A 22,445-nucleotide genomic window follows, 5' to 3' on the forward strand; every position below is an offset into this window, starting at 1 on the left:
TTTTGAAGGTAGAATTAACAGGACTTGCTGATGGATTCAATAAGGTGGGAGGAAAAAAGAGGAACCAAGGATAACTCCTAGGATTCTGGCTTGAACCTCTGGAGAGAGCCACTTACCATAATGGGAAAGACTAGCAAAGACAAGGTCCTTGAACAGACCTGCTGAGGTGTTCTGGCAACCACCCAGCAATAAAGGGGAAGGGGCAAGTGGAACCACCAGGTAGAATGTCAGAGGAGCCAGGAGCCTGGCAGGAGCAGACATCCAGGTTTGCATTTAGCATTAAGAGGATCTAGCAGCCTGGACTGAAGCTTCAAACACCAGTGCATTTCCCCAGGTCCCAATCTTTCAGTAATGAGGATATGTATCAGAGAATAAAGAGACACTCAAACACAGAAGGAAAAAAAAGACACAGATATAGCAATAGATGGAGCTTGGGCACAAGCAATGAAGCAAGGACTATGACCCTGGAACCTAGGCAGGGCAGAATGAGAGGTAGTAAACAGTCTCTTTTCTGGCAAGGCACAGTGGCTCATGCCTGTAATCCCCAACACTTGTGGAGGCCAAAGCAGGAGGACTGCTTGAGCCCAGGAAGTTGAGGCTGCAGTGAGCCATGGCCACACCACTGCACTCCAGCCTTGGTGACAGAGAAAGACCCTGTCTCAAAAAATGAAAAATAAACAAACAAAAAAAGATCCTCTTTTCTGATATGTATTCCCAGAATCTAGCATAGTCCTTGCCCATGTTAGGTACTCAGATATTTGTTAAATGGCTTTATTTATTTAATGAATACTTACATAATTCTTACTATGTACCCAAGCACCATTCTAAGTGCTTCAAAATATTAACTTGTTTAATCCTCACAACAACCCTATGAAGTAAAAACCATTGCTAACCCCATCTTTCAAAACCAATCAAAACTGAGGCGTGTCAGAAGAAGTAATTTGCCCAGGGTCACACAGTAAGTAATGGCAGAGCCAGGAGTAGTCTCCAGAGTTCACACTCTCAGCCACCACGCTACGCTCTGAGTGAATAAATGAAGTCAGAGGTACTTCCTTTACTGAGATAGAGATTTTTCCAAAGTTCTTACTTTCAAGCTGCTGTAAAATGCTAGTAAATTCAAAGTTGTTGCTGAGATCAAAGCCAAGTGAGTCTGAATCCACCCTTATATTCTGTGCAGCCACCACCAGTGACTTCTCATATGAGATGTGGATGCCTTAGGACATATAAAGGCAACTCTACAGTACCCACTTCCTATCAGGATGACACACTCTTCTTTTTTTTCATGTCAGTACAAATAGTTGAGTTCATGGTGAATGATCATCTGTCCCTCCTACTCCTCTCCACCCTAAACATAGGTACTTCAATGAGTTTGATACATTAACTTAATTCGTCTGAATCCTTTTAAACCATGTTGTGTTATTTTCTTTATGGCTGTGTTAAATTTATGTAAATGGTATTATGCTAAATATATCAATCTTTCATACATTTTTCACTGAAAACTTTTTTTTTTTAATGGAGTCTCACTCTGTCACTCAGGCTGGAGTGCAGTGGCGAGACCTCGGCTCACTGCAACCTCCACCTCCCAGGTTCAAGCGATTCTCCTGCCTCAGCCTCCTGAGTAGCTGGGATTACAGGCGCACGCCACCACATGCGGCTGATTTTTGTATTTTTGGTAGAGACAAGGTTTCACCATGTTGGCCAAGCTGGTCTCAAACTCCTGACCTCAGGTGATCCACCCGCCTCGGCCTCCCAAAGTGCTGGGATTATAGGCGTGAGCCACCGCACCCAGCCCACTGAACACTATTTTTTTTTAAATCATAAGATGTTACTGTAAAGCTATATTGCTTCTAACTACTGGAAAACATGCATCCACTACATTTTACTCACCCATTTCTCTTGTGATGGACACGAGAATGCCTCAAATATCCTGCTACCACAAACAAGACTGTGATGAACTTTTTTGTGTGTATCCTCTACTGAACTTAAGGAAGAATATATCTAGAAGATATGCCTCGAAGAGGTCATAATGTATTTATGTAGTTTAAATACTGAAAGACTGTTTTCCTTAATAGGTGTACCAGTCTAGACACTCACCAACAGTGCATGGGGACTCCCATCACCCACAGGCTGCCAATACTTGCCATTGTCCACCTTTTAATATTTGCTGATTGTCTTCATTAGTATAATGGTGAGTAAAAAAATAAAGTAGAAATTTTTTTGCCAATTGGATGAGTGTGGAGTGATAACTTGTTTAAATTTGCTGTTCTCTGATAACGGATAAATTTCAGCATCTGAAAATAACCTATTTCTATCTTTCGACCATTTCTCTGTTGAGTTTGTTATCTTTTTCTTCTTGATTTGCGGGAGGTCACTGTATATTATTTACTTTAATTTGCTGCTGTTTTAAACATTGCAAACATCTTTTCCCAGTCTATCATTTGTCTGTTAAACTTCCTTATGAACTGTCTCCATTTTCCATGGCAAATCATGGGGACTTTTGGTAAAATGACATTTTTTTTTTCCTTTAAAGTAGACTGGGGAAATGTGAAGGCCTTCAGTTCTCATAATTGCAAAACCAACCCTTCACCAAACCGTGAGACATAATGACTAAGGAGAGAGCCCGAGAAATAAATTTGAAGTTCTAATTCCCACACCACTAAATTGGTGATTAAGGAATGTTTTTGGTGTATTCTATTAATAAGCTGAAGCCATTTTTTTTAACTTACGCCATTTTGTTCCACAAAGGATCTGAGGAAGCTTATAAGAAAAACAAGCAATAAAATTAAAAAATATAAATTTAAAAAATCAGGAACAAGGAAAACACAGCAGAATAGAAGGTCAAGACCAGTAGGAAACTAAGAATGCAGATATGTAGGCCACAGGGTCCTACGAAGTTATTAATGTTGAGCCAAAAATTTGGCTCTGAGCTTCTTGGCAACCAGAGGGAAAAGGGAAAAGGGAATACAATCAGGTACATTCAACGATATTCTCTTTGTTGATAAGAAAACACAAATTTCTCAGGGGAAGATAAGTTTTTCCTGGCCCTGAGTTCCAAGAGAATTCCTCAGGTGGGTTTCATGTCAGTGACTGTTTTCTCACTAACATCTCTAGGGTAAAAATGATGTTTCATGTTTCTTGTAACATCTCAGTGAAAGCTAATGGCCACCAAACTTTAATTGCTTAAAACACAGAAGGCAACCCAGTCTATTATCTGCCAGTTAAGTGTGAAAAAGGAGGAAATAGGCCAGCCATGGTGGCTATTGGGAGGCCAAGGTAGGTGGATCATTTGAGGTCAGGAGTTCAAGACCAGCCTGACCAACATGTTGAAACTGCGTCTCTACTAAAAACACCAAAAAAAAAAAAAAAAATAGCTGGGCTTGGTGGCGGGTGCCTGTAATCCCAGCTACTCAGGAGGCTGAGGCAGGAGAATCGCTTGAACCTGGGAGGCGGAGGTTGAAGTGAGCCAAGATCGCACCACTGCATTCCAGCCTGGGTAACAGAGTGAAACTCCATTTCAAAAAAAAAAAAAAAGAAAAAGAAAAAGGAGAAAATGAAGAGGAGAGGAGAAGAAAAACAAGTCCATCCAAATATGCAATCTTTGAGAGTCCAATTTAGTGTAAGAATCAAACCAAAAATATCTGGTAAAAGTAATGACATATTATTTAAGATAACACTGGCTGCTCTAACCAAAAACTCTGAAACTCTCAGTGTCTCAACACAATAGAAGTTTATTTCTCACTCATGTAAAACCAAAACACCAACCTCCTTCCTTCTTGAGGTCCCTCCATATTCTACACACAAGAACAGAACATAGAGGACCATGCATGGGAGGTTTTTATAGGCCAGACCTGGAAGCAACAACACATCACTTCTGCCCACATGCCAGTGGCTAGAACTTGGTCAGATGAGTCCAGGCACAGTGGCTCAAGCCTGTAATCCTAGCCCTTTGGGAGGAGTTTGAGACCAGCCTGGCCAACATAGTGAAACCCTGTCTCTACTAAAAATACAAAAATTAGCCAGGCATGGTGGCACATGCTACTCAGGAGGCTAAGGCAGGAAAATCACTTGAACCCAGGAGGCAGAGGTTGTGGTGAGCCGAGATCGCACCACTGCACTCCAGCCTGGGCAACAGAGCAAGACTCTGTCTCAAAAGAAAAAAAGAACTTGGTCAAATGGCCAGTCCTAACTATGAGGGAGACTGGTGGTATAATCTAAAGGTATGTACCCAGGAAAAGGGGAAAACAGGTGAACATTTAATACCCAACCACAAATTATCAGTTGTGTCTTTCAAACATTTCTTTATAATTTCAATTTTCTAAACAAGGATCTAGCAAACTACGGCCTGCAGGCCAGATTTACCTTACCACCTGTTTTCATACTGCCCACAAAATAAGAAATGTTTTGGTATTTTTTAATAGTTAAAAAAATCAAAAGAAGAATAATGATTTGTGACACATATGAAATTCAAATTTCAGTCTCCATAAATAAAATGTTCTTGAAACACAGCCACGTTCATTCATTTACATATTGTCTATGGCTGCTTTTGTACTAAACAACAACAGAGTCAAATAGTTGCAACAGAGGACATATGAATGGGAAAGCCAAAAGTATTTACTACCTGGCCCTTTGCAGAAAAGGTTTGCTCACCTCTGTTTCAAACTGATAAGAGTTTTTAAGAATCGAGCAACAGGTACTTCTAGGCAGTGACCTGAAACACAAATATGCCTGATTGGTAGTTAAAGTATATTCATAGGCATCAGTGATTAAATGAGCTGATACAAAATTGATATCTTTTGGGAACACTGAGGGGTCTGAACAAGCTTCTGGCCATTCCTCTATATGTAGAGTTAGATCAAGAAGAACTTGCAGGCAAAGCTAGAATTTTTCATAAGAAACATTTCTGGATCTATACCAGTTTAAAAACCCATGATTAATCAGTTAGTCATTTTTACATAAGCAAGTAAAGACACACTGTTTTCCAAATTTCTCAAATAAATAAGCATCTCTTCAATAGAACTGTTAGATACTATACTAGCATGGCTTGTTTTTAATAAATAATGTATCACGCTGTTATAGAAAGAATATGATTTTCTGGGGATTGTAAATACTTTAATTCCAATGGTGAAAAGGTAAAGGATAAAGTTGCCTAACAATCATACTTCATGAAATCAAATTTCAAAGTTTATTTATAGATAGTTTCCTGATGATTATGTTAGCATAACTTTATTGTTTCTTGATTACTTAAAAATCAGATCAAGAACAAAAGTAACTCCTTTTTATCAGAATGCCTATCAACCTCAAATACTGACTGATAGCATTCCTTTCTATTAAAGTTTCAAAAGATAAGTAGGTTCACAGGGAATATGTGCTGCTAGTACACACAGATGAACAGTTTTAGAATTTAAGAAGGAATAAAATGTACCAACATATCAAAATAAGCTTTAAAAAAAAATCTTGGCATTAATGTCAATAGGCACTCCCTGGGGAACTCCAGGGACATAAAGCATAAGCTTCAGGACAAAATTTTGCTTGTAGCCACTGTACCTGCAGTCATCCAGAACAAACAAAACCTTCAGCCCTGCAGAGCCAGGCTACCCGAGACCAGAATGCCCCAAATTTGGGAATGACCTCAAAATCACTGTTTCAGAGTTCAATATCAAGCTCCTTGTTTTATATAACATGCAAGTGAGCACAGATTGAGTAAGGAACTTGCCCAGGCCACACAGCCAGCAGTCAGCAGCACTGGCATTAGGACTCCAGCCAGCCCCTTTCCCCATCTTCTGGGTTCTTCCTCTAGGGGTGTCCAATCTTTTGGCTTCCCTGGGCCACATTAGAAGAAGAAGAATTGTCTTGGGCCACACATAAAATACCCTAATACTAACTATAGCTGATGAGCTAATATATATAATATAACATATATATATAACATATAACATAATGTTATATATAACATATATATAACATATAACATATAATATATATATAATATATATAATATATAATATAACATATATATTTGCTCATCAGCTAATATATATGGCCTAGTCCCATAATGAAATACTATATAATATATATATATTATATATATCATAATGTTTACACACCTGTGTTGGGTCACATTCAAAGCCATCCTGGCCGCATGCAGCCCACGGGCCGTGGGTCGGATAACTTTTCAAGTCTACACCATAATTCATCCTCCCGCAGCTGGCTCTCTGGAGCCATCAGTTCATTGACTCAAGCAAGGTTAATGTATCCTCCTTCTAAGACAGATTAAATTCAAGTCCAAAACCACTTAATGCATGAACGTCATCCCAATGAGACCTATAAAGCAGAGGCCCTGTCAGCTTTGTAGGGCCCCAAACATCCCACAATGCCTTTTTGCCAGACCTGAATTGGCAAAACTCTTTGGCCAAAGGCTCAGATGTCTTTCACCCTTCTCTTCAGACTGCATTGGTAAACCACGCTTCTTTTCTTTCCTCCTTGCCTCCTACCTATTTCCTCTGTAGCATCTGCTTTGTAGATCATTCTTCTGTGGTGTGTGAGGACAAACGACACCAACAATCACACCACCACTCAATTGCTGAAGAGTGTAATTCCTGAACAACCAGATGCACCACTTTTACTTTAATACTTCGAATTACTATGTGGAAATCCAGGATGCGTTTGTAGATTTATTTCTACTAACACAACAATTTTTACAAGTAACTAAAACTATGATAAAATTTTATCAGTTTCTGGATTTCATTCCAAGATGTCAAGACATGGGCCACATCCTCTTTAGCAGATTGTCTGGAGGAAAACCCTCCCATCAACCAAACTTAATTAATATTATTTCATGTTACTTGATAGAAATAAATAGTAATCTCCAATTTTTCTTAGCTTTTGAATAGGATATCTGAATTAACAGCATTGATTTATTTAAAATAAAAATAATGATCTCTCTTTACTCTCTAGCTCCCAATCGCAAAATCCCACAATCTCCAATTAACAGTGATTTATTTTATACAAAAATAGTGGCAAAGTTTTCTTTTCTCATCAATCCCCAAAATGTACAATGGTACTTTAGTGCTTCCTCTATGCCAAATCATAGATATCCAATATATGGCCATACTGCCTGATCTCATCTAACCTCAGAAGCTAAGCAGGAATGGTCCAGTTAATATTGGATGGGAGACCACCTGAAAATGCCATGTATAGGCTTTTAAAAAACAAAGCCGAGATACTCAAAGCTTCATCAAAATGGGTAAACACTGTGATAGTGGTTTTCAAAGTGCTTACTAACTAGCTCCAAAACACAGAATTGCTGCAGTACAACCACAAAAGCAGGGGGAACAGAATGTAAAGCATTTGGATTTTAAAGTTTTAAAAGATTTCTAGATGTTTAGAGTGATTAGTTCTGTCCCACTTACAAAATGGAAACTGAGAAACAGAGTTAATCACAGAAACCAGTCTCCTTCCCAACCTATAGTTTTATGAAACTATACAAAGACACAGCTAGGTAGCAACTTCTTCCAGGAAACATGAACATTTAGAATCTCATTTCTTCCATTATATGACTGAATCTAATAAAGAAGTACATTTTTCATGCCACAAAAGACCAAATGAGGCCAAACAAGTATTCTAGAATCAACTTGAGACAGAAAGTAATTCCATTATCATCAATCAGGGTAGCATGCCCTTATTTTATAATAATTTTAAAAATCTTAGTCCATCTCATACACTAAAGAAATTTATTCAGATAAGCTATATTTATTGTTTAATCTTGTGATGGAAGAAAAAGGGACTTTCACTTGCCTAAACTTGATTGTTTAAAAGAGGATATTTAAAACTTTTCCTTGCCAAATGTCCAAAGACTTGTAAACCAGGATATTCATTACAATGCTTTTTATAATTTATAATATATAAAGTAGATAATAACTTAAATACTCAATAAGGGGAGGAGCGATTAAGTAAATTATGGCATACTCCCATAATGAAATACTATATAATCATCAACATTGATTATTAGGGATAATTTATTGTCATGTAAAGATGTTTATATTAATGAGAAAAAGTAATGATAGTATTTAGGATCACAATTTGATAAAAATCTATAGTGAAAATTATATTTCACATACATGGGTATACATAGAAAAGAAAGGTTGGAAGTACAGACATCAAAATAATAATGTTCATTTCTAGGTAGTAGAATTACTAGTAGAATTTTTTTGTTTGTATTTTCCAATTGTTTTACATTAATATCTTTCATTTGCTAAAAAATAGTAATAAAGTATGTAGTGCATCTGAAAAATTTCATTCAAAATGATTAATATTAAAGAACTATTTCCAGCTGTGTGGCACATTAGCTTCGTGGTATATTTCATAGCTTGGTGATTTCAGGTAAGTGACAAATTGCTTTATATCCTTTCTGTACCTGGGTAAACTGAGGTACAAAGTGAAATCAGAGACAGAACTAAAAGCAAAACATGAAGTTCCAAGATTTCAGTTCCCGTTACTAAAATTCATGTATTCATTTATTCAATAAATATTTATTATGCAGCTAAAATGTAAGAAACATAAGGATAAATCATGTATAGATCCTACTCTCAGAGACTGCAATTACTAAGATAATAAGGAATCTACCTAAATTTAAAAAGAGATAATGCTATAAGAGAGGTATGAGTGAAGGAGAGGTTTCTTTTTACTCATGGAGTTAGAGAAGTATTATTGAACAACAAAAAGAACACAGTTGTGATTCAATACTGAAAAGTTGAATTTCTATGGTTATATGATGTGCATTATCTTAGAAAAATGAACTCTATGTAGTACTGAGTGAAAAAGGTGGGTTGATGCAAAACAGTATGTATGTTTATTATACACATTTTACACACACACATCCACATACACCAACGTGCATGTGTAAACCAAACTGCTAACAATGCTAGTCTCTAGTTAGGGGAATTACAGGTGGTTTTTATCATTTTGCTATCTATCATGTCCAATTTTATTACAATGAAGCTTAATGGTGTATTACAAATCAATAAAAGGGGAATACTTGTCCATGGTGACCAAATAAAGCTTGCATCATGCCATGATCAGTGCTGCACTATGCAGAAGCTAATGCTGACATGTGATAGACGATGACCAGGATGCATGACTTGCCCACTTCTTTTCTGATAGCCCCAGCTCTGATTTGTTTCCATTTGACAACACTGAATGAGTGGTACAAAATTATTGTCCCTACCTTTGTGTAATATTCAGAGAACTGAGTAGATGCCTAGAGATTCAAAAAAGGACCAAAATAACCAGAACTCTTGAGAGCGTACCTAATTACACAATCATTAATAATCAATATAGCTTCACAAAGAACTTGTCCTATGTAGATAATAGACAGTCATCCTATTACATAGCAGAGTGGAAGGCCTGATGGATCACAGAAAATTAACTGATGAACCCTAAGCTGGACTTTAGGAAGGCTTTTGATTCTCTCCTACAAGGCATGCTAGGAAAATAGACCAGGAACAGACAACTGTTGATTCATTAACTATAGATTGGCTGGGGAGTTCTAACTAAAGCATTCAAATTGAGGAGACGACAAATGGTGTTTTTGATATCAACCCGAATAACAGACAGAAGAGGCCAAAAAATGAAATTTAGAAGGTAAAATAACAATTTAAGATAAAATTGTACAAATAAGAAACAAAATGTAGATTAAACGTAGTATGGAAAAATGTGTTCAAAGTACACACCTGAATTACAGGAGCTAATTAGAAATTGTTTGCATAGAAATATGACTGTCAGTAGGCATTGCTGTAGCAGTTTAAAATACTGTTTTGACAATGAATACCGAATTAGGACTGACAGACAAATGCATGTTGTCTACACCCATGTTAGCACTTAACATGTTGTATTGCCATTACTTGTTGGCAAATCTTTCTCTCCCTCAAGGTTTTTGTTAAATCTTACTGTATTCCCAGCACCTAGCAGAGTCTGGCAGAGAGAGGATTTTTCAATACATCCTCAGGAATAAATGAGATCATCTCCCATCTTCCTCAGATACCTTAATAAAGCACTAAACTCCCCTCAGAGTGCTATATTTAAAGATGGATATGAATAATTTGCTGAGCATTCAGAGGAGAACTTAAAAAGGTGGGGAGTTGATAAATGAGAATTGGATTTTTCCGTTTATAGAAGAGAAAGCTGGGGGGTAAATTAGTTACAATTTTCTTTTTGAAGAAATCTTACGCAAAAGACATCTTTTTCTATTAAAAATGTCCAAAAGTGTCTGGGTTAGAAGCCCAGATTAGGGAAATGGACCATTAAATATTGGAATGGATAACAACAGAAAAAAAAAAAAAACCTCAACTAAAATATATTTTACTAAATGCTTTCACAAAAGAGCTAGCTCCTGAGCTCCAATGAAGACTCACGTATAAGCCGCTGTGAATTAAGAAGCTGGCCTTTCAACCAAGCCCCTTACGTAAGAGCCAAGACTCCACAATTTCATGATAAATGAGTAACCAGCCATCATCAGAGAGTTTGCACAATTAAACTGACAATTCAAAACTCAATTTTATTTTCATGATATTTATGTTCAAGTTATCATAGAAGTCTGTATCAACAGAATATAAAATATACTATTGATGTATAGAAATTAGATTTCTGGAAAATCCCATACTTATTTCTTCATGTATATTTGCATAGATTTCTATTTTTTTATTAGCTGGTTATTTCTTAATTGAGAGTGTTCTAAATAAAACCTGATATTAAATACAATATAATTATTTCAGTTCCAAAATACATCCAGTATACCCAGTAAATATGGCTTTAGTAAGAAATTGTGAGAAAAGAATCCCACTCTAATTGATTCTCACCTATGTATCAAATATTATTTTGTTCTATTCTTCAATCATTATTTTTTCTTTTTTTTTTAGCTGGGCAGCTCCCTAAACCAGAATAGGTTCAGAGCAACTCCTGGTCATCATTTTTTATTTGCAATATAAAAACTGTTATATATTATATTAATTATAATTTATAATTATAAATTATAATATAATATATTAACTGTTCTAATAACCCATTTGTCACTATAAATAGCCTTTGAGTTTTTCTTCCATTCCAAAAAGGAGTAAAAGGTCCCCCAAACCAATTGATTTAACACCAAATTTAAATAAACCCAAAGACCCTCTCACTTTTCACATTGAGTAGAACAAGGTCAGACTGGGCATCTTCCAAATGTAAAGGCTTAATTGGACTAATTCTTTCATGATAATAATGTATATTTAAGATAGCCACTAAAAATTGTCAATGCTAATTTAGTAGATCAATTCCATTAAATGCTTTGAACTTTTCACCACTTGCTAATCTCATCTATTACAGCTGCTGTTTTTGTTGAAAATCTAAGCTATAACTTAATATCAAATTACAACATTTCTAGGCAGACCTAAAAAATACTTTCTTATATGTGAAATATAACCTAAAAAGACTGTAAGTTGTGTAAATTGTAAGATTCTAGCCATAAAATTTCCTGCAGTCAAAATGCAGAAAGATCTTATCAATCTATTGGCAATTGACATTATGGTAAGAAGCTTATGGGTTTTTTTTTAACATCTTAGAAATAAATGTTTTATTGTATCTAAAATAAAGCTTTAACATTTGTGATTATTGATTGTAGACCCACCTTTATACACTAAATGGTTCAGACTGTAACATCAAACATAATGTAATTTAGGTAATACTTCAACTCACGTCAGTAGAAATGCCAAGGTTGTGCTCAACATTTAGGTGAACAATGTAAGGAATATGCTCATTAATGTAAAAAATAATATATTTGTTATTTAGCTAATGAAGAATTTTGAGACCCCAAACCACTATCGAATATCCAGCATGCCTTATTTGTCTGGAACTAGACTTCTGAGGCTATTTTTATTCCCTGTGATTTACCACCAGTATCCTCTGGGTGATAGTTGAGGAAACAGATGCTGGGAATCTCTCTGCTCAGTTCCTGAGAGGAGAGTTCTGACTCACAGCCTTGCCAGCTCCCTGCTTTGTACTCACATAAGCAAAGGGTGGTGAAGTAAAACGTAAATGACTGCCTGATTTCCAGTCTCTCATTGCCAGTTTCCTCAAAGTTTCCACTTACGCATTTGCCTCCCTTACCAATTTCGTTTGAAGTTCCTTTTCCAAAATCCTGAACGGCATGTTCCCAGGATACATTTACTTTTTCAAAAAAATTCATTCAGTGGGGATTTTCCAACTGAAATTAAAAAAAAAAAAAAGGAAGACTGGAGAGGGGGCATTCTTTTTTTTCGGCTTTTTCATTTACTGTCAATTGATTGTATTGATATCTGCAGAAGGAAGATGTAGATTTTTTTAAAAAAATTGTAAAATGTTCCCCTCTAAGCTCTAAGCACATTTTTCTTATGGAAAATCATAAACCTTCCTAAAAGTTTCCTGTATTCTGTTATTTATTGTGAAAGGATTTAAACTAACATAGATATGCTTCCATTTGGAGATTATACTTAAATTGTTAGTTTAAAAAAATTAATCTTTATTAAATGTCCACAAGGTATAGAGCATTCTTCTTTCTTTGTGCGTCTAGGCTGACAAAAATACACAGGGGGAAGAAATCTATGAAGTTTAAATACCTTTTATAATGAATTTAAAACAGAAGCATACGCCACATTATAGACTGAGAATTCAATTTCACAAGGCAGCAGTTTCTCTTAAAACTATTATTTTAGGTCGGGCGCGGTGTCACGCCCTGTAATCCCAGCACTTTGGGAGGTCAAGGAGGGTGGATCATGACATCAGGAGTTCGAGACCAGCCTGACCGTCATGGTGAAACCCGTCTCTACTAAAAATACGAAAATTAGCCAGATGTGGTGGCACGCACCTGTAATCCCAGCTACTCAGGAGGCTGAGGCAGGAGAATCACTTGAACCTGGGAGGAGGAGATTGTGGTGAGCCAAGATCCTGCCCCTGCACTCCAGTCTAGGTGACAGAGCAAGACTCTTTTTAAAAAAAAAAAAGCTATTATTTTACAGAGAAATTAAATTCACTGGCCAGAGTATGTTTTTACAAAGTTTTTCTTTAAAAACCTACCTTTACTTTATTGAAAACAATGGGACCTATATGGATAATTTTCTTTTTTTTTTTTTTTAGCTGGAGTTTCGCTCTTGTTGCCCAGGCTGGGAGAGCAATGGCGTGATCTCAGCTCACTGCAACCTCTGCCTCCTGGGTTCAAGCGATTCTCCTACCTCAGCCTCCCGAGTAGCTGTGATTACAGGCATGCACCACCACGCCTGGCTAATTTTGTATATTTAGTAGAGACAGGGTTTCTCCATATTGGTCAAGCTGGTCTCCAACTCCCGACCTCAGGTGATCCCCCGCCTCAGCCTCCCAAAGTTCTGGGATTACAGGAGTGAGCCACCACGCCTGGCCAATAATTTTCTAAGTGTAATCTTATGTGAGTAAATTAAATTTCCTTATCAAATGCCACTGAACTACCTGAATGTTTGCTTATTAATCCCATAATTTAGTGTGGCTTAACAATAGCCTGGATAATTGATTTAGACTATTTTTATATTAGGAAAACTTGGCAATTGTTATTGCATTTCAGATAAAAAGAGTTTAGGTTGACAAGTTAAGTCTCACAGCATCACCGCGACACCTTCTGGAAGTATATCTATGTGAGACGGAACAAGTCAACCTACTACTAATCCAACAGAAATCTGTCTGGGAGAAGGGGAGTGAGGAAAGGTGTCGGTTTGTTAGCATGTAGAGCAAGCAGCCTACTAAAGACTAAATTATTGCTTTCCATCACAAAGACACTTACCCATCCTCAAGTTGACCACCATCTTGTTCTCTGTGAAAGACCTGGCTGGTAGATTGGGCCGCCTCACTAGCATCAAATAAATATTCCTTACCAGCCACAAAGGGAAAATATATTGAGCCAGATTAGTAACATTCTAATAGAAAATGTGGCATTTTGAATGAGGAAAACTACTTCAGTGAAAAAATTTGGTAAGATGCCCACAATGAGCAAAGAACCTTAAAATGCAAGAGATTCTCCAGTGGAAAATGGCCTAATCTTTATGAACTAACTGCTACACAAAAGGCAAAAAGTCAACACAAAAATTGACATTTAAAAAATCTATTCGCCAATAATATTTTGCAAAGATATTATACACACACGCACGCACACACACACACACACACACACACACAGTAAAGGAAATATAACTGATGAATGATGCTGAACTACTTTTGTAGCTGTTTAACAGTTACAATCTTGGGGTCTATGTATGCACAAAAACACCAAGTAACCAAATGATTCAGTTAGACATTAAGCAAAGAAAGTCAGTGAAACTTGCTGTATGATCTGAACAACTATTTGGGCACCCAGGCAAAGAGGTAAATTCACCACTTATATATAAATGAAAAAGACAGGGTCAGTAATATGCTTGTTGTGATGCAGATTAGGGAAGGGTAAAAAATGTCTTAAATGAACACTTCAATTCTGGTATATGATTACAAAACTAAAATCCCTGCAGTATACACAAATACAATTGCCTAACTTCAAAGTCCCAGGAAGCACCCACAAGGAAAAAACACACTCTGATTTTAATGTCTTCCTGATCCCCTCAAATGGCCTAATATGTATAATATTGAAAGTCAATTCTGTAGCTTCTCAAGGGTTAAATTCTTTGTTGCAAATAACTCTAAAAAAGTATCCCAGTAAGAATCAGGCTTAGACTAGTTCAGCAAGAGGAACCGTTCCATAATGAGGCTTGGCCTGGACCAGTCCCAGGAGAATTAATTTTGTGCCGTAGAACACCTAGATAAATTAGTTTTGCTTTAAATATCGAGTCCTAAAAGAGTTAAAAGAGGGAGAATATCAATCAATAATTTTTAGATTAACTACTTTGTATATGACAAAACAAAATTAACTTTGGCATTATAACCACTTTCTCTCGCATTTCTGATAAGCCCCAAGTTTAAAATAAGTAATTAGAGATTTAAAAACCAACCGAATATGTGCATTTGTTTCTTGTTACAAAATACTAATTCACTGCCTAGTTTGTAAAAAAAAAAAAATTACTCATACATTTTGCAAAATTACAAATATTGTTATTTTTATTAAAATAATCACACCTGAGAAGAATTCAGAAAATATGTAGACAAATTCCTGTAGGGTTTTTTTCATGGAATTGCTAAAGGAATTAAGCTTTAAAATTAAGTGAAAAATAATATTTCAGTTAACAAAGTTAGGTTCTTGAAATTATATTTTCATTGATTAATTCCTTCCAATGTCTACCCATTACTTCTCTTTTATAAAATTTATTTGTATTGAAACATTTGTGCAGAATTAAAATCATACCTACAAATGATAACAAATTTAACCTAAAACTCCCTTGTGTTTTAAAGGCTTTTTCTGGTTAAATGCCTACCAGAAAGGCAAATACAAAATTCATTTCCATAAGAGATGAAATCAGGCTTTTAACCTAGCCAATTGCCCATATAAACAATCTTCAATATTATTTGGTCATCATTTGGTAATTAAAATGGAAAATCACAACCATGCTGAATTTACTCCAGGTGCCAAAAAAGTTATTTAGCAGATAACTAGAGATAGAGAAAATGTCTCTTTAACAGATTCTTTTAAGAATACATCTACAAGAAGCATCTGGCTTTCAAACAGTCATAAAAACGAGAAGCAGTTGAACAGTGGCACCCAGAGGTGAAAAGTATATTGCTTCTAGAGATTTATATTGTTAACTACAATGTTTTTTAGTCATCCTTTTTTTCACTTCCAGATTTGTTTCTAGTATCATACCAGAAATCATTTTTTCTTTGTTGCATATTGAAATACCATATTTTAATAAATAGAAATAAATGTTTCGTTTTAGAAAAAGTACTTTCTTTATTAAATTGCATGCCAATTTCCCTCCTTCAAAACAATAAACCAACTGAACACCAGGCAAAATACCTTCCATAGTTGAATATCATGTTCACTCATCTACTTCTAGCCTACCAAAATTATTAGCAAAGATATTTTTAAGAAATACCTCTGTGACTACTACACAATTTCCATATACTCCAAGCTACATTTGTGCTAAAGATGTTTTTGTTGGACCATCGCGTATCCCTGAAGAGATAAACCTGGGGAGATTTTTAGAATTCCATACTGAACCCCCTCCCATTATTATGATAGCAGAGGATGGAAATGGGAATAAGAATGCTGGACAAAAGAAAAGGGAATAAAAATACTTTTTTTTTAATTCCACAGGAAGTTTAAAAATAACAAAATCTATTTTGACCAAAATCAAAACGCGCCTGCCGATTTTAATTAAAGCAGCTCTATACCTTTGAACCAGCCAACAAGCAGCTGCAGTAAGCATTTGGCTGGCTCTGAGTTCCTAAGCTAAACTGCAGAAAAACGCCTCCTCCTGGATCTAATCACCTTCGGGCGCCTCAAATAAACCTTAGCGTGTGGGGCCAGCACAGGTCAGTTTTTTAAGAGCCTCCGTAGAACAGGGTCTTATTTTTGTTCCTGAGCTGAAATGCACACATGCACTTAGCAGAGAAGGTTTGCCTAATCTATCACCGGTTTTCGTCTGTTTCTGGGTTTCCATTACCTTTTGTCAGACGTTTTCTCCAAGATCCTCGCTGCTTTCTTTTTAATCACCTAAGAAGCAACATTGATGTGACAAGCTCCAGAAAAAGGCTCGTCCTTTCTTATCTGCATCTTCAGCCTAATGATGAGGAATGGGTTCCATAAACTTGAAAAAGGCAGGAAAATGCTGCCAAAGTCATTATCCACTACTTTAAATTGGAAAGAAAAAAGCTGTCCCTTTTTAGAAGAATGGTAATAACGTATAAAATAATTGTACAAAGCCTACAGCGTTTCATATAAGAAAGGAAATTGCCCAATGCAATTTAAAAGAAAAACAAAATACCTTCATTTCCCGCTATCTGAAATCTACATCAGAATGTACCCTCGATTTTGCATATGAAGCAGAGTGCTCAATTGCCTGCCAGAAATGAGAGCGAATTATGCCTGCACTCAAGTTAATATTGAAATAATCTCCCTCTTTTTGATACCTTCCTCTCGTCCCTTTTTCCCCTTCCGTACATTGCAGTGTCATTGCCTAAATCAATCTTTGGGCATTAAAGGTAGCTTCTGGGGAGCTTCTCAGTCGCCAGCCTGCTACTTGTCGGGGGCATCGGCTATGAACTGCAGCTGGATGGATGCCTGTCTGCCTGCTCGTCTTTAAGTCTCACGAAGCAAAACCGCAGGCTTTCTCGTACTCAAAACCACACCATCATTGTCCATATTCGGGTATTTCATTACAGTAACAGTTTGAAGGACACCAGGCTTACAGCCTTTTGGAGCAGACGGTAGGGAAGCTGCTCCACATGGATCATATTGATCTCTCCAACCACTCCTCGAACATCCACAGCTGTTCCAAGATTTGCGCCCAGCGGAGACGAGACGCGGCAGTAGACCTGGGCGCCACCTAGTGGATTCTATTGACCTGGGGGAGTCGTCAACGCGTGGTGAGGTATATAAGCTTCAGGGAACAATCCCTACAGCCAACCTAGAAAATACTAACTATAGTCGAAGCAATAGGGAAGGAGTCTTATCTTTAAAAAAAAAAAAAAAAAAGTAACAAGAAGATGACAAAAGAAGCAAATGATTCAAATGACTGACAGGAATTTCAAGAGTGGTTTTTCAATATAAATTTCAAATCTCTGAAATGTCAAAGTGCTTTATTATTTATATCTTTATTAAGAAAAGGAAAATATAGAAAGTTTATTTTGCCAAAATATTACCACTTTTCTTTAATCTGCCAGATTGGTCACATTTTGCCTTAATAAGTTTATAATTCAGTAAGCCAATCCAAATGGAACTGAATTTTTATTTTTCCTACCATCTAATAAATATGAGTCTTAAGAAAAGCTGTTTATAAAATATTCCACCAATTATGTCTCCCTTCTTCACCCATTCCATTCACAGTTTCCATTCCTATTATCCCCCAAAAGAGGTCGTACTCATTTTTCCTTCTATTCTTTACATGCACACATTTTCTGGAAGAAAGAACTTCAATTTTCTTCGTGGCAAAGTTGTGGCTATTACCTCGTTTGAGATCAAATTCAAAATACAATTCCTAGAAAGTTGTACCTTCAATTGATCCACATTCTGCAATCACTTCCTACTTTATGTTTTCAAATATATTTTATTTAACATTGCCACTTGATCATAATTTTCTAATTGTCTTACCTCCACAAATTGTACTTTTGTCTGATCCACAACCTCTGCCTCAGAAGAGGAGCCTATTAAATGTTGAATAAATAGCTATAACATAAGCAGATAACTATCTCTGACAAGATTTGTTAATAAATACTCTGGTTATTCTACCCTTTGGATGTGCTAAATATATCAACAACAACTAACATTTATTGAGGTTTTTTACTTGATGGTCACAATGGCCCTATTAAAATAGATACTACTATTATCCTTATTTTATAATTGAGGAAAGCTACTTCTAGAAGGTTAAGAAATTCACCACATTGACATGGGCAGTAAGAAGTGGAACTGAAATTTGAACCTGGTCTTTCTGACTCCAGAGCCTATACCCTGAACTTCTATACTACACTGTGTCTATCTTATATGTTGTTATTAAAATATATGATACACTATGATCTTATTACTGGTTGTATTATATTTTGATGATTCACTTTATAAAAGTAAATATTTCTAGTTTTATCCCCTGCAAAATAAGTTATTTTAGATAGTTGCTAAAATTATTCAAGTTGTTAATATTTTTTACCACGTTTGGTCTTTAAAGAATGAACTTACTATAATCAAAAGATTTGCACAAAGGAAGGAAAAGAAATTACTTTACTGATCAAAGGACCGATGCAGGAAAATATGCAAGCTGACTGCATTTCGCTAAGATTGCAACAATGAAGTGGAAGAGCTAGGGGAAATGGGAGATCTGGTAATAACTGTTTCTTTGTTTTTTCAGTTCACCTGACCTATTTAAACATTTTAATTTAGAAATGCTCCTCAGACTTCTCAGGTTTGGTCTCATGAGTAAGCAAATCAGGAACCCACAGGAACCACTTGTCAGGTTTCATTTCAAGGGAATTGGAAAGGGATCCTGACCTCCTAAAATATTTAAAGATGTTTAAAATCACATTCTTAGACCTTCTTGAACAGAAAAATGAACTTTTAAAAAAAGAGACAACATCGGTCACAATTGTTCAACACTAGAAATAACCCACAAGTCCCTAAAGAATAAAATAGCATGGCAAATAACATGGTAAATTCACGTAAGGAAATATTATTCAGCATTGAAAATGAATGCACTAATGCCACACTCAACATGGATGAATCGCAAAATACAATTTTGAGCAAAAGCAGCAAGACACAGAAGAATACAAATGATTCCACTTACATAAAGTGCCAAAACTGGTTCTGTATTTCACAATAAAAATGCAAAAGAAGTACATCCAATGGTCATTTCAAAATGCATCCAGAAAAAAAACATAATAAGCTGTGCCCATCATTTATGTTTTGGTGAAAATAAGTCTATCAGCTCCATGATTGCAGTCTTGAGAGGGAAGGAGAGAAGAGCAAAGCATGAAGACTGTAAATTCTAGAAGAGAGTAGTGGTGAGACTGTGAGCTCTGGAATCACACTGACCTGGATTTGAACTAGAGCCCTGCCATTTAATGACTGTGGATCTTGGGCTGGGGTATAAATCTCTCAAGCTCTTTGTTCCCCACCTAGAAAATAAAGATCACAGTGGGCCCAACATCATAGGGTCATTTTGAGGCTTACAGCACGCACTAGTTTTCACTAATTGTCCAATAAGTGTTTTTTTTCTTTCCCGAGATTGGAAGTAGAGGAGGAAATCAGCACAGGGAGTAGCAAAGGAAAACACTGGGCACTCACTGTGTTTCCTTCCCACTCACCCTTGGGTCACTCCTCCACCCCATGGGCTTCTCTGTGAACCACTAACACTTGCTTCTCTAGCAAGAGTCACCAGAGATCTTGTTATTCAACCCAATGAATATCTTTTCTCTACATCATTTGATACTATTTACTTTTTCTTCCTCCTTGAAACTTTTCTTCTCGTTTTCTTTGATAACCTGGGCTGTCCCCTTCTCACTAAAACCCCCATCATTGCCCACTATCAGGCCCTTGTCACTTTCCTCCTGTCTGCAACAGCCTCCTAACTGGTTTTCTCCAGCATGGCCCCTTTCCAACCCTCTCTCCACACTGCAGCCAGTGCATTTGTCCTAACATGTGGATCTCACCATGCCTCTTCCCCACAGCCTTATAGCAACCTCTATCTTGTTCAGCCATGGAAGATCTAGTCTTTCTATCTGTCTGTCTTCGGGCTCATCAATTACTGCACTAACCTACCCACTCTCATTTGGACCTTCTTGGCTTTCTACCACCTGTTTTCTCTACCTGGAATCTTGACCATATTACCTGCCTCACATAATGAACTTTAAAACTCAGGACAGGTCTCCCTCCCACCCACCATGCACCTCTTTCTACATTATATACCTTCCTTTGTAATCAGTACAATCTATGATCATTCTTGAACCTCTGCACTATTTACCCATGGATGGTCTACATACTCAAAAGACTGCCAACTCTGTAAAGGCAGGCACCTTTCCTACTGATCTTTCTATACCACCACCCAACAGAGTGGCCAACAAAAACCTAGTTAAGTAAATTAATGAATCAAGCAAATAATCAATGCTTACTTCACAGTTTTACAGAACTATCATCGCATCTCCTCTACTATAACTTCCTCATCTACTTCTACAGGAGAAAAGGGGTTATGTATCATATCCTTGTCTCTTAAACTCTGTCTTCTAACATTTATTGGTTATTTATTGCCATCATTATTATATTTTTCCACATCATATTTAACTAATCAAAAATTTTACAGGTATTTTAAACCTCTTGATCTTGTTCAATATGCTGTATGGGTAATTGGATAGCCATGAATCCAAATACTAACTTTACCACTGACTAACTCTGAGACCTTGAGTAAGTCACTCAACTCTGTTTCCGTTTTCCCACCTGTAAAATGAGGGTAAAAATTCCTAACCAACGGCTTTCTTGTGAAGTTAAATGAACTAAAATGAGGTTAATGTACATAAAGCATTTAGCACATTGCCTAGCACAAATAAGAATGCAGAAATAGTATCTACTAGTATTAATGCACAACTAAGTTTTGTTTTGCAGAGCATAATTTGTTAATCATTCATTATAGTGCTCTGTACTTTTCAAAACTAAGGGTCACCTTGGTTTTAAGAGTAAGGCCTCGGCCAGGCGCGGTGGCTCACGCCTGTAATCCCAGCACTTTGGGAGGCCGAGGCGGGTGGATCACCTGAGGTCAGGAGTTCGAGACCAGCCTGGCCAACATGGTGAAACCCCATCTCTACTAAAAACATAAAAAAATTAGCCGGGCATGGTAGTGAGCACCTATAATCCCAGCTACTTGGGAAGCTGAGGCAGGAGAATTGCTTGGGCCCAAGAGATGGAGGTTGCAGTGAGCCAACATGGTCCCACTGCACTCCAGCCTGGGTGATGGAGTGAGAGTCCACCTCAAAAAAAAAAAAAAAAGAGTAAGGCCTCAATAACTATATTCAAGTATGTATTTTTTCCCAAAAGGAAAAACTTTAAAACGTATGCTTTTATAAAACATATGCATATATATATATACATATGCTGCATAACTACCTTGCTTATTTCATAAGTGAAAAATATTAAATTAAATGAAAATATAGATTCCACTCAGTAAATGATAGCATTTTCATCGTGCAATCTACATACTATTTTAAATGCATGTAAATCATATGTTATTCATTCATGAAACATGCTTCAAGTATATAACGTAAAAAATTCAGTTAAAACTTTTCCTATTTTCTGTGCTTAATATCTCAATTTGAATCTTATTAAAGTTTAAATGGTGGTTTTGAAGAAGGCAATAAGAACAGAAAAATATTCAACCTGAGGAAGCTGACTGAAAGGAAAGAACAGAAAAACAGAAATGAAGGAAACAGAATCAATTAAATAGAACTATATGAGGACATTTGTATGGCCATTGTAAATAAGAAGGCAAGATCTCTGGAAGATATATCTGACATTTAATATATATTATAGGTATAGTATATATTTGTATTTTTAAAAATCACCATATCCTTCACTAATCTAAAAGTGAGGGATCTGTTTGCTTTATCTACAAAACTTACTTTCCCCTTTCCCAATTGCCACTCCCCAGAAAAGAAACAACAAATGTGAGCTATTTTATTCAAAAAGGAGAATCTCATGACAATAGGATTATTATGACAAGCATTTTCCACACTTTATTCTTCATGCCCAGAATGACATTAGTAAGATAAGACATTTTAAAAGTCAATAGCACTTATTT

The 22,445-nt window shown here is 36.4% G+C and overlaps 1 long non-coding RNA gene and 1 pseudogene across 1 annotated transcript in view, besides 1 other annotated feature; one reads left to right on the forward strand and one right to left on the reverse strand.

Annotated features, from left to right (window-relative positions):
• Positions 1 to 22,445, reverse strand: part of LOC105373760 (uncharacterized) — a 101,257-nt gene that overhangs the window by 67,348 nt on the left and 11,464 nt on the right. The gene's annotated exons all lie outside the window — the stretch shown is intronic.
• On the forward strand, positions 7,098 to 7,196 carry RNA5SP112 (RNA, 5S ribosomal pseudogene 112; annotated as a pseudogene).
• Positions 16,774 to 17,497: an enhancer, noted in NCBI's record as "NANOG hESC enhancer chr2:178013103-178013826 (GRCh37/hg19 assembly coordinates)". NCBI's record gives its function as "activates a minimal SCP1, AML or CMV promoter by ChIP-STARR-seq in naive H9 embryonic stem cells {active_cell/tissue: H9 hESC(naive)}" and the evidence as "EXISTENCE:reporter gene assay evidence [ECO:0000049][PMID:30033119]".

Source organism: Homo sapiens, chromosome 2 (genome assembly GCF_000001405.40).
Source record: "Homo sapiens chromosome 2, GRCh38.p14 Primary Assembly".
NCBI classification, from domain to species: Eukaryota; Metazoa; Chordata; class Mammalia; order Primates; family Hominidae; genus Homo; species Homo sapiens.